Source organism: Homo sapiens, chromosome 2 (genome assembly GCF_000001405.40).
Source record: "Homo sapiens chromosome 2, GRCh38.p14 Primary Assembly".
Classification (NCBI taxonomy): Eukaryota; Metazoa; Chordata; class Mammalia; order Primates; family Hominidae; genus Homo; species Homo sapiens.
In genome coordinates, this window is record NC_000002.12 from 61819437 (window position 1) to 61833137 (window position 13701).

At 39.7% G+C, this 13701-nt stretch overlaps 1 protein-coding gene across 6 annotated transcripts in view; it reads right to left on the reverse strand.

The window, feature by feature from the left end:
- Positions 1-13701, reverse strand: part of FAM161A (FAM161 centrosomal protein A) — a 53821-nt gene that overhangs the window by 19197 nt on the left and 20923 nt on the right. For 3 of the 6 annotated variants that reach the window (NR_037710.2, NM_032180.3, NM_001201543.2), the window contains 2 exons: positions 7668-7822; positions 5412-7163 (listed from right to left, as the gene is read on the reverse strand). Coding sequence is in view for 3 of the 6 variants with exons in the window: in NM_032180.3 (NP_115556.2) it covers positions 7019-7163; positions 7668-7822 (300 nt within the window). In the remaining 3 variants the exon portion in view is untranslated. Of the gene's footprint in view, positions 1-706; positions 1009-5411; positions 7164-7667; positions 7823-13701 lie in introns of those variants that run through there. The other 3 variants (XR_001738972.3, XM_047445962.1, XR_007082540.1) reach the window with 3 other exon arrangements.

The following is a 13701-nucleotide window of genomic DNA, read 5'->3' on the forward strand; positions in this document are numbered from 1 at the left end:
TGGGTGACAGAGTGAGACTCTGTCTCAAAACAAAAAAGCCAATACAACAAAATCTCATTCAAGTCTGGTAGAAAGAAAAGTCCTGAAAATGTGGTGATGAGCAAGGAATAACAAAAAACAATTAATTGTACATTAATGTCATTGACATTATCTTCAGTGGACTGTTCTATATTAGTGAACATTTTTTTTAACTGCACTGACTTTGTCAGGCTTCCTCCTGTCCTATTTTGATTCTTGTTTTTGTTTCCCATGAAGTGTTGCAGTTCCTCAACCACACACTCTTGGCATGGTTTTTAGGAACATAACTTTTAGGGTTAGCAAAAGGATGCTGTGGGTTTTTTCATCCATCTGAGCATTATTATAGTGCAACAAGATAACTTATTTTCATAATGAAGTATACCATCTTCTTTTTATTAGCATTCAAGATGAATGAATATTGTTATTTGCTTGAGAAAGGCTCATTTATGATTTTTTTCTATTATACAATGTTAATGTCTTATTTTGCATTTTTTCCTCATAGAGGATATTTTTTGTCTTGGAAAAAGCATTCTTCTAAGAGAAGTAAATGATGGACCTCACTGTACATCACAGACACATGTAGCTGGTGGAAATTCAGAAATGCTACTTTATACAGTATATTTAATGATGTGTTGGGTATACCTCTTAAATTAGGAATTGTGTTCTGCTGCATTTAATAGACACCCACCTTCTGTCCGTGGCCGCCACCAGGAAGCATCATTAAAATCTCTCTTCCCACTGCTGTCATGTCTAAGTCAGTCTCCTAAACAGCCAAGCAGCTGTGGCAGCTCTTCACTGGAGGATCGAGCTTTGAAACGACTGATGAGAGGCTGAGGAGCCATTCTGAGCAATGGGGAATGCTCACAGGCTGTGTGGTCATGAGAGATCCCAACACCAAGTGCTCCAGGGGCTTTGGGTTTGTCACCTATGCCACTGTGGAGGAGGTGGATGCAGCCATGAATGCAAGGCCACACAAGGTGGATGGGAGAGCTGTGGAACCAAAGAGGGCTGTCTCAAGAGAAGGTTCTCAAAGACCAGGTGCCCACCTAACTGTGAAAAAGGTATTTGTTGCTGGCATTAAAGAAGACACTGAAGAACATCACCTAAGAGACAGTAGGATAAATGTGAACACTGCTAGGTAACTGGTATTAAGGGGTTATTCTTTTTTGTATTATTCTTTTTGTATGTGTGATGATGGTATTAGAGCTGTGTAACAAGGGAAAGTTTTTATCATTTAAAGATCTATACTGAAATATTTATACATGAAATATGTCTGTGATTTGCTTCGAAACAACTAGGGGCTAGAGAGTGGGAATATAGAAGAAATAAACTTAATTGTGAGTTGATAATTCTTGACATTAGGTGATGGGCACATCTAGAAAATATAACTACAAAATACCTTCCTACAAAGCTAAAGCCTCATTTATATTTTTCTTTAACATATGTAAGTGTTGAAAAGGAAGAAACAAAAAGAATGAAGTCTCTCTTCCATCACCTACTCCCAGGCTCTTAGAGGCAGACTCTATTAACATTTATATTTTCTGGTATATCTTTTCAGAGTTAGATATAAGCATACATTTTATGCCTTGACTTTTTTTTTCTTTTTTTTTTTTTCTTAGACAAAGTCTTGCTCTGTTGCCCAGGCTGCAGTGCAGTGGCACAATCTCAGCTCACTGCAACCTCGGCCTCCCGGGTTCAAGCGATTCTCCTGCCTCAGCCTACAGAGTAGCTGGGACTACAGGCGCCTGCCACCATGCCTGGCTGATTTTTGTACTTTTAGTAGAGATGGGGTTTCACCATATTGGCCAGGCTGGTCTCAAACTCCTGACCTTGTGATCTGCCTGCCTCGGCCTCCCAAAGTGCTGGGATTACAGGCGTGAGCCACTGCGCCCAGCTATGCCTTGACTTTTAATAGTTATATACCAATTTTTTTCCTTCTCAATTTTTTATCTCCTTCTCTTATTGACATTTATAATTTGCCAAAGACCACAGTCTTAGTTGTTACAAAAATGAAAAAATAATTAGAGTAAGTAGATATCTAAATATTAGTATATCTGATTTCTTAACTAGAAAATTTTACAAGCCATAGTTTTATTTTTCATTTATTCAGTCTATATTAGTTGTAAAATAGAATCTGAATATCTTTTTTTCTTTTTGTTTTGAGACAGGATCTCACGCTGTTGCCCAGGCTGGTCTTGAACTCCTGGACTCAAGTGATTTTCCCACCTCAGCCTTCCAAAGTGCTGAGATTACAGGTGTAGGCCACTGCATCTGTCAGAAATCTGGTCAGAATATTGGATTTTATTTTATTTTATTTATTATTATTATTTTTTTAGACAGAGTCTTGCTCTGTTGCCCGGGCTGGAGTGCAGTGGCATGATCTCAGCTCACTGAAATCTCTGCCTCTCAGGTTCAAGCGATTCTCCTGCCTCAGCCTCCTGGGTAGCTGGGATTACAGATGCCCACCACCATACCCGGCTAATTTTTGTATTTTTGTAGAGACAGGGTTTTACCATGTTGGTCAGGCTGGTCTCAAACTCCTGACCTCAAGTAATCTGCCTGCCTCAGCCTCCCAAAGTGCTGGGATTACAAGTGTGAGCCACTGTGCCTGGCAGAATGTTGGAATCTGTGACCCTGATTATTACTTCCTCCCTTAAAAACAAACAAAGTTGCTATACTATAAAGGTTATTCCTGGCCAGGCACAGTGGCTCACACCTGTAATCCTAACACTTTGAGAAGCCAAGGCAGGAGGATCACTTGAGTCCAGGAGTTTGAGACCAGCCTGGGCAACATAGCGAGACGCTGTCTCTAAATTAAATTTAAATTTAAATTAAAAATTTTAAAAAGTTATTCCTATAACTTTTCTAACAATACAGGTAAGTTAGTAAACCACAGCCACATCAGGACTACATATAAGTGACAAGAAATGAGACTACCTAAAGAATTTAGGACAAAGTAATTACTTTGACACCATAATATTATAGTCTAAATATTGTCAAATTGACAAAAACTTCATTTCACAATAACTTGCTCCCTTCTAAACAACCACTAAAACACACATATACACATATGTGATAGTTGAGAAGGGCATACATTTTTCTTTGAAGCAATGAGGTAATTTTTATAAAGTTATTTTTTATTTTTTTTGAAACGGGGTTTTCACTCTTATTGCCTAGGCTAGAGTGCAGTGGCACAATCTCGGCTCACTGCAACCTCCACCTCCCAGGTTCAAGCAATTCTCCTGCCTCAGCCTCCCAAATGGCTGGGATTATAGGCATATGCTACCACACTTGGCTAATTCTTTTTGTATTTTAAGTAGAGACGGGGTTTCACCATGTTGGCCAGGCTGGTCTCAAACTCCTGACCTCAGGTGATCCGCCTGCCTCAGCCTCCCAAAGTGCTGGGATTACAGGCATGAGCCGCTGCACCCGGCCTGAAGTTAATGATTTTGTATTGCCTAGGTCCAAATGTTGAAATCTTTGCTATTCTCAAGTGACTAGAATTAACTTGAGAAATACTGTCTAAGAGAAAAATACCAGATATCCTTAAAGGCATGCTTATTTGTTTTATTATGTAGACTAACTCAACAGAGTAAAAGAATAATTGCGGTGGCTCATGCCTGTAATCCCAGCACTTTGGGAGGCCGAGGCAGATGGATGACGAGGTCAGGAGTTCAAGACCAGCCTGGCCAAGATGGTGAAATCCCATCTCTACTAAAACTATAAAAATTAGCCAGGCGTGGTGGCAGGCACCTGTAATCCCAGCTACTCGGGAGGTGGAGGCAGGAGAATCACTTGAACCTGGGTGGCAGGGGTTGCAGTGAGCCAAGATCGCACCACTGCACTCCAGACTGGGCGACAGAGTGAGATTCCATCTCAAAAAAAAAAAAAATGCTAAATTTTCCATCATATATATATATATATATATATATTGAGTCAGGGTCTCACTTTGTTACCTAGGTTGGAGTGGTGTGATCAGGGCTCACTGCAGCCTCAACCACCTGGGCTGAACCAATCCTCCCACCTTAGCTTCCCGAGTATCTGGGACTACTTGGTGCATGACACCCCGCCTGGCTAACTTTTGTATTTTTTGTAGAGACAGGGTTTCACCATGTTGCCCAGGCTGATCTTGAACTCCTGACCTCAAGTGAGCCGCCTTCCTCTGCCTCCGAAAGTGCTGAGATTACAGGCATGAGCCACCACATCCAGACTTCCATCATATTTATAGATACATATATACGTGTGTGTTTGTGTATGTGTAAAATAACTTAATCCTCCAATAAGTCCCCAGGCCATTTTCTCTGCGGAAATAAGTATGAAGTAATAGGGTACCCAGTAATATTATGAAAGAAAAAAAGAGCATAACCTTTTTCTTGATGTTAGGTTACTCTTGTATAAAGGAAAATCCCATAAGTAAAAAGAATTCTGGAGCCAATTCAGATGATACAAATGTAAAAAATTTTCAGTTACCTAACACCTGAAAACATGTTTGATTTAACCAGTTGACTTCTAACCATCACTGTGTAATGTGACCTGCTAAAGTAATCTTTCAGCTGTCAATTTGATGTCTTTTTTTTCTTTTTTTTTTTTGAGATGGAGTCTCACTCTGTCACCCAGGCTAGAGTGCAGTGGTGCCATCTCGGCTCACTGCAAGCTCTGCCTCCCAGGTTCAGGCCATTCTCCTGCCTCAGCCTCCCGAGTAGCTGGGACTACAGGCACCCACCACCACGCCTGGCTAATTTTTTTTTTTTTTTTTTGTATTTTTAGTAGAGACGGGGTTTCACCGTGTTAGCCAGGATGGTCTCGATCTCCTGACCTCATAATCCACCCATCTCGGCCTCCCAAAGTGAACAGTGATATGCACAGAATGATTTGAAACTGTCAGTGTCTCTCTCCCTCTTTTTTTAACTTTGGTTCTGTGTTAACCAGATCATGTCTAACAAAGTGCTTCAAAAGTTATTTCTAACCAAATAATATTTAAATCACAGTGTATCTCATTTAAGTACAAGTATTTTAAGTTAACAGTTTCCTCAGGAATATTCTGTCTTCTGACACCATCATTTGAATATCACAGTTTGCAAAGACCTTTCCATATATGATTTCATCCAGTCCTTCCTACAGCCACTCAAGATAGGTAATATTCCCATTTTTTTTTTAAAGGTAAGAAAACAAGATTGGTCCTGAAGCCAAGTGTTTCATGACCAAAGCCCACACTCTCCTCATGAAATTGAGAAGGGACAGGCTGTGGAGTGAATCCTTGAAAGCAAGTAATGTTTTAAGTACTATTACAATTTGTAGATTGTGTTTCACAGGCTCCCAATGAGCTAGGAGGGAAATGTTTTTAATCCCATGTGTACTCATTCTGAAGTAGCTGTAAGTATATAAAAACCATATTCATCTACACACTCATTCAAACCTTTATTAAGTACCTACCATATGTACAATACTGTTCCAAATATTAAGGGAATACAAAGATGAATTTTTAAATGGTGCCAAATCCCAAGGAGTTTACAATATAATAATAGTAAAAAGTAATTTAACACGAACTGTAGGAAGAAAATTACAAGTAAACATTTGCCCCTGATGGAGAAAAATGACCTTATTTTTAAATTTAAAGCATAAATTGCCAGTTTGGAAACACTGCTATTACATACACCTGTATTAGTTCATCCTTTTAAAATGATGCTGATTGTTTTTAGAAAAGAAAATGTCTTATGCTATATTATCTTTATGATTGGCTTCAAATTTTAAAACAAAAATTTGCTTAAAGAAAAAAATATAGATTTATAAAATCAGATTAACACTGTACACAGAGAGATAAAGTGTGTTGGCAATAATATGTAAAAAGTTGAACACAACTGGGTCTAGCAGTGAAGAGTTAAATCTGAATTACTTTGGAGACTTGCCCTAGCCAAGTTATTATGCACAATTTCATCATATAAAAAAAGGGATACTTGCCCCTAATTTAGATTATAACTCACACATGCCATAATTACTTCCATCTGTAATAATACATAGGGTTAAAAAAACTAGTATAAAAACTTTCCTAATAATTTACAAATCAAAAATAATTTGGACTAGAACTAAGGATAAAAAGAAAAAGGGATGATGGTGTAGACAATTTAACAGTAAACTCTCAGTGCAAAAATAAATGTAAATTTGCAAGTATCCATTTTTTTCTATACTTTTTTTTTTTTTTTGGAGACGGAGTCTCGCTCTGTTGCCCAAGCTGGAGTGCAGTGGCGCGATCTCGGCTCACTGCAAGCTCTGCCTCCTGGGTTCATGCCATTCTCCTGCCTCTGCCTCCCAAGTAGCTGGGACTACAGGCGCCCACCACCACGCCTGGCTAATTTTTTGTATTTTTAGTAGAGACGGGGTTTCATCGTGTTAGCCAGGATGGTCTCGATCTCCTGACCTCGTGATCCACCCGTCTCGGCCTCCCAAAATGCTGGGATTACAGGCATGAGCCACCATACCCGGCGTTTTTTCTATACTTTTAAAAATGGCTCAGAGCAGCAAAACAAGTTAGAGGATTTATTCTGTGAAATGCACTGCAGAGAAAAAGAATGGGCAAATAGTATAATTAAAAATAGTTATTGATTCACACTTTCCAAAATTTTTAAAAAGTAAACCACCAAAGACCAATACTTCTCTCTCCTTTCAATACTAAGCCATTTTTTCCAGTAAAATTAATGAAATAATGTATATTTTTATAACTAATCAGTTTGTGACAGCTGTGGTTCTCACTTTTTAAAAATACAAAATCATAGTTGCAAACAGATAATACACAATGATTTTTAAAACTGAATAGGCAAAGCCTTACTCTAACTGATCAAATGACCAATCAGCTGGATTCAGGCTTTTCAGGCTACAGATGACTTTGATCAACAGCCCTGCACATATCAGAAGCGTCCCCACAGATGTTCTAAACACAAATGCGGCTGCTGACACCCTGACGCTGCAAACAACAGCAAGGGCATAGAGAGGAGACCTTGATGATTCAGTGTGATTCTTCAACAGATTTCTCTTCTTCACTTTCCTCATTGGCTTCATCTTTTTCCTTGTAAGAATCCTGGCTGTTGGTATCAATAAAATAATTTTCTTCCCCATTCTCTCTTTCTTCTATTTTTTCTTCTTCATTAAAGCTAGGGGAAGAAATTTATCAATCTTTCAAAGGAAAAATGAGTTGGTTTAAAGGTAAACAAACCCTCTGCAAGTATGCCACCGTGTAGCCAGTCTTCCTCAAGTGTATGAATTCCAATTTGTTACCAAGACAACTCAAAAAAAAGAAGAAAACGCTATAAAAGTGCCCATTGAGAAATTTAATATTCCTGAAAACTAATTTATTTCAAAATTTGAGTGATTGTTTCTTTAAACTTCATTTGAAAGCATGCTATTATTTTTGTTACTTATGTCTTTAAGAAATCTGTTATTCTGCTTTAAAAATAAAATACTTCATGTGAACGTTAATGTGTCAAACATGTTAAAATATCAGTGTGTTTTACAACAGTTCATATGTCTTTTACTATTGGGTAAAAGATCTTTTTAAAACAATATAGAACAAAAAATATACATAGTATAAAATTGTGCTTTTCTGCAGGTAATAATTTTTTCAAAGGTAAGCCATTCAGACATCTTATATATGTTACCTTTCTTTGTCTTCAGTGACACTTTTCGTCTCTTGATTGTTGAAGTACTCAAGTACTTTTCCACTTTGGCCTTTCTTTGAAACAAACTCATCAGATATTCCTAGTGCTTTTAGGGTATTAGAATAATGCTTTTCTGCTGCCATTCTTGCATTTTTCTATAGGAAAGACAAACCTTTTTAGACGAGAACAGAAGACTTTAAATTTTCATCAAAAATGTATAGATTAGGCCAGGCGCGGTGGCTCACGCCTGTAATCCCAGTGCTTTGGGAGGCCGAGACGGGTGGATCACGAGGTCAGGAGATCAAGACCATCCTGGCTAACACGGTGAAACCCCGTCTCTACTAAAAATACAAAAAATTAGCCGGGCGTGGTGGTGGCCGCCTGTAGTCCCAGCTACTCGGGAGGCTGAGGCAGGAGAATGGCGTGAACCTGGGAGGCGGAGCTTGCAGTGAGCCGAGATCGCGCCACTGTACTCCAGCCTGGGTGACAGAACAAGACTCTGTCTCAAAAAAAAAAAAAAAAAAAATATGGATTAAAAGTACTGGTGATAATTAAGTTCAGCAGTCACAGTTGTTTGAAAATCTGCATACCCTATGACCAACAATTACACTCCTAGGAATATAACCAGAGAAGCTCCCACATATGAGTCCCAAGGGAGGACATGTTCAAGAATGTTCAGGATAGTACTGTCCTTCAATAACCCCAAATGGGAAATCACCCAAATATCTATTAGTAGCAGAATGGATAAATAAATTGTGGTCTATTCCTATAATGGAGTGAAACAAAGCAAGGAAAATGAATGAACTACAGTTACATGCCACAACATGGATAGATCTCACAAATATAATACTGAGCAAAAGAAGCAAAGCACTGACAAGTACATATTGTATGATCTATATAAAGTTCAGAAATGGGCAAAACAACTATATTGTTTGAGGATAGGTACACACACTGTAAAATTGCAAAGAAAAACAAGGAAGTACTTATCCTGAAAGTTAGAATGGTGGTTACCTCTTGGGGAGAGGTAGAGGGCTGTGATCTGCAATGGCACATAGGGTTTTTGGGGTGCTGGCAATGGTCTATTTGTTAACATGGGTGGTGGCCACATTAGATTGATCTATAATTATTTTTTATATTGTACCTAGGTTTTATATACTTTTATGACTGTATAAAGATATCTGAAAAAAAAAAAAAGATTTCATGCAATAATTGTTGTCAGAGGATTCTTTTTCCTTTTTTTTTTGAAAAAGGGTCTTGCTCTGTCACCCAGGCTGGAGTGCAGTGGTGCAAACACAACTCACTGCAGCCTCAACCTGCTGGGCTCAAGCGATCCTCCCACCTCAGCCTCTGGAGTAGCTGGGACCATAGGCGCGTGCCACCATGCCCAGCTAATTTTTGTATTTTTTGTAGGACGGGGCGTCACTATGTTGTCCAGGATGGCCTTGAATTCCTGGGTTTAAGTGATCCACCGGCCTTGGCCTCCCAAAGTGCTGGGATTACAGGCATGAGCCATGGCACCCAGCCAATTTCTTTTATTTTATGTATCTACTGTAATTTTTACTCTTTATAAGCCATATCCCCAATCCATTAAAGATGATAAAAGCACCAGTGTTGTAATCTTTACTCTGTGGAGGAAGCAAGGGATATAACAAAAAGAATATGAATTTAGAACTGGGTTCAAATCTGTAGAATGTCACTTCCCGGCTTTAAGATCTGTTGGAATTGTGATGACCCTCTCATCACAGCTCCAGAGATGGCAGGCTTTATGGAGCCACATAGTGACTGGGTTCACACTAGTGCCTCCACTTTAGCCCATTTTAGCTCCCATGAGTGGATCTGAACTGTTAGAGGGCCAAGAATTGCCCTCTGGACCTCCAACTAAAGCTAAGACCTCCAAGTAAAGCAAGCATTCCTAATACTAGGAATGGCCCAGTTCCAATGTACCAATGGCATTCATACTGGGAAGGGTGTGGAGGAGTACCCAGTCTAACCCCCATATTTAATAAAGAAACCAAGTCTCCCCCGGCCCCCGCCTCAAAGGTGAAATTGACTAAGGTCACAAGGCTAGTGAGTGGTAGAACCAAGTCTCTTGACCATTTCCTAGGTCTTTTATATTACATCATGCTACTTTCTCTAAGTGGTAGTGGTCGTCAAGAGTTTGAAGGTGACCTAAAGCCTGACTTGAGCAACGTAGTTGTCAGATATTTGCCAAATCTAGTATAATGAGGGGCCATGGAGTCTAGTGTTACACAGGAGAACCTGAAATAGCAAGGACTGATTACAATAGATAAAACTATCACCAGGGCATTTCCTGATACTCTGGAAAACTGAAAAAGAAACACTGCTGCTAAAACGCACTCACTGTGAATAACAATAATATTTTTTAGAAAAGTAAGTAAAAACCCATCCAGAGTCTGTGAATATCAAAAGACAAGTCTTGGGGAGCTGAAAGGAAGGGCAAAATGAGAAATAAGAACTATACCCTAAAGACTGCAGAGAAGAATAAAGAAACCCCAAACCTAGCTCTGAATGCATTACCAACAGTATATTCTGACTTCAGCAAATTAAATATATAAGACATTAAAAAGACATTAGTCAAAATTTGTGCCAGTAAGCCTTCATCTGACTTTGGTTTAAAATTCAATTTAACATCTTCTCAGTTAATTAATCCTGTGATTTCCAAGAAACAGGACAACATAGTTTATTCTGTAAAGAATCACAGGCATATTGTGTTAGGGAATCACTCAGCAGCAGCGAGACCACAATTAACTCCTATAAATGGGCAAAGCAAATAGCTGCAAGCAAATTTATTAAAAACCAGCTGTTAATTAGCAGCAATAGTTCCAGCAAAATAGACTGCAGCAAAAAATGTACTAAAAAAAAAAAGCAATGGCGATTCACTGCCATGGTAACTCTGTTTATACTTTTTGAGAAGTTAATGAGAAGACCCCTTGATATCATTCATTGAAAATGAGAATAAATGGAATTGGTGAGAATGGATGATTGTCCCTGTTATAAAGGCTTATTAATTGTCTACCCAGGGTTAACATTTTAGTAGGGGAATGAAAATGGTAAGGCGAAGGTATAATGAATGGTTCTGCAAAGAGCAAGGCAGAAAAATCAATCAAACTATTATGATTCAGATAGGAAATAAAGGTTCCACCTGGCATTTCACCACCAAGGATGGTGAAGGGCAGATCCAAAAATTATTTAGGAAGAAAATTTGACAGGTCTCTCAATGACCAGCTGAATGGGGAGGAACTGGGTACACACAGATATGAAGATGAGAACAGTAGGCCAGGCACGGTGGCTCACTCCTGTAATCCCAGTACTTTGGGAGGCCGAGGCAGGTGGATCACTTGAGGTCAGGAGTTCAGGACCAGCCCGGCCAACATGGTGAAATCCCGTCTCTACTAAAAATACAAAAAAAATTAGCCGGGCATGGTGGTGTGCACCTGTAATCCCAGCTACTCAGGAGACTGAGGCAGGAGAATCACTTGAACCCAGGAGGCAGAGGTTGCAGTGAGCCGAGATCACGCCACTGCACTCCAGCCTGGGTGACAGAGTAAGACCCTGTCTCAAAAAAAAAAAAAAAAAAAAATGAGAACAGTAGACACTGGTCTCAAACTCTTGGCCTCAAATGATCCTCCCCCCCTCAGTTTCCCAAAGTGTTGGGATTACAGGGTGAGTCACTGGCCTAATTTTTCTAATATAAAGATATTTCTGGCTGGATGTGGTGGTTCACATCTGTAATCCCGGAACTTTGAGAGGCTGAGGTGGGCAGATCACAAGGTCAGGAGTTCGAGACCAGCCTGACCAACATGATGAAACTTCGTCTTGACTAAAAATACAAAAAAAATTAGCCAGGCATGGTGGCACGCGCCTGTAATCACAGATACTCAGGAGGCTAAGGCAGGAGAATCACTTGAACCCGGGAGGCGGAGGTTCCAGTGAGCTGAGATCGAGCCACTGCACTCCAGCCTGGGTGACAGAGTGAGACGCCTTCTCAAAAAAAAAAAAAAAAAAAGATATTTCTTAGACAAACAGCACTATAATAAATCATTGCTGCATATGTGTTCAATATTGGTCTTCCCAAATAATACTTCATACTTTCTTTCTTGTATTATAGTATCACCCATAATGATTCCTTTAATTTAGCATTTATTTACTTTCCTTTTTTTTTTCTAGACCTGTTGGAACAAGCCTCGCATGTCACTAACACAAATATTAGTATTCCCAGGTTATGTACCTGCTCCCTGGAATTGAGGTTAACAGAAAAAAATAACATATCAATCTGACCATTCCCCCAACCTCCAAAACAATCATATTCACAATTTTGTCTCAACACACATCTGTAATTGCTGCAATTGTGTGTCTTGAATGACTACATTTGTCTGTCTTGTTTCTATCTGACTTTAAGGGTCTCAAGGGATTTTCTGATATTCAAAAAGCATTTGTTGAGAAGGGGGCAGGAAAACAATATGATAGATAAAAGAATCACATGAAGACAGTCAGATCTGGGTTTGAATCCTGGTTCCCCTTCTTCTGGTTGTATCATCTAAGCCTCAAGATGTCCCTCATCTGTGAAATAAGAACCTCACAGGAGCAGTGTAAAGGTCAGTTAAGACAATGCATATAAAGTGCTTAGTGGAGTGCTTGTCTTTCAGCAACCTCTCAAAAAACATTATAAACCAGCTTCCAAATAGCTTTGTGCAGTCTCCCTCTTAAATGCAAACAGACAACCAAAGATAATCTGAGGAAAGCTTCTAATATGATAGACAAGAGGCTAAAAAAGAGAAAAAGGAACTTGAAGGAAACAGAGACAATATCACCAGTATGCTCAGAGATATAAAAGACAGGCTGGGTGTGGTGGCTCACACTTGGAATCCCGACACTTTGGAAGGCCGAGAAAGGAGGATTTCTTGAGCCCAGGAGCTTAAGACCAGCATGGACAACACAGTAACACCCCTGTCTTTACAAAAAATACAAAAATTAGCCTGGCATGGTAGCTTGTGCCTGTAGTCCTAACTACTTGGGAGGCTGAGGTGGGAAGATTGCCTGAGCCCAAGGGGTTAAAGTTGCAGTGAGCCGAGATCATGCCACTGCACTCCAGCCTGGGACAGAGTAAGACCCTGTCACACACACACAAAAAAAAACCAACAACAACAACAACAAAAAACCAACAACAACAAAAAAAAACGTACTGCACCCATGAAAAATACCAAAGGAATATTTAATAAATGGGAAGCATTCTGGAAATTATGTCATTTTTCATTAGGTAAGCAAAAAATGCAGATTTGGAAGATAAATTTGAGGAAATCTTCCAGAACTAGAATAAAATAACAGTGATTTTAAAAGAAATACAAGAAATGTAGATAAATCCAGGTTAATATCTAACTACTCCCCAGTATAACAGTGAAAAAGTCCTAAGATGTCGTTTATGCCAGAGGCCTAGAGCAGGGGTCCCTACCACGAACTAGGTACGGGTCTGTGGCCTGTTAGGAACCAGGCTGCACAGCAGGAAGTGAGCAGTGGGAGGGCGAGCATTATGGCCTGAGCCCTGCCTCCTACAGCGTTAGATTTTCATAGGAGGGTGACCCCTATCGTGAAGTGCTCATGCCAGGGATCTAGGTTGCATGCTCCTTATGAGAATCTAACGCCTGATGATGTGAGGTGGAACAGTTTCATCCTGAAATGATCCATTTCCCGATCCATCCACCCCACCCCACGCAACCCTGGTCTGTGGAAAAATGGTCTTCCATAAAACCAGTCTCTAGCGCCAAAAAGGTTGAGGACTGCTGGCCTAGAGAGAAACCATTCCAAAGTGGAGCAGGACACTTGTGGGCTCCAGGGGAGGAAAGGAACTGATGAATTACGAATGTGTTTAACTGTTTGAGGGGGATTTTTGAGAGCTAACAGAAAAGCCTAAGAATAATAATGATACATACATTGGTGGGGAATGAGGGAAGGTGGGGGGAGGACCAAACAAAATTAGTAATTATTAACACAAGAAAAAATTTTTTTAAAGGAAATG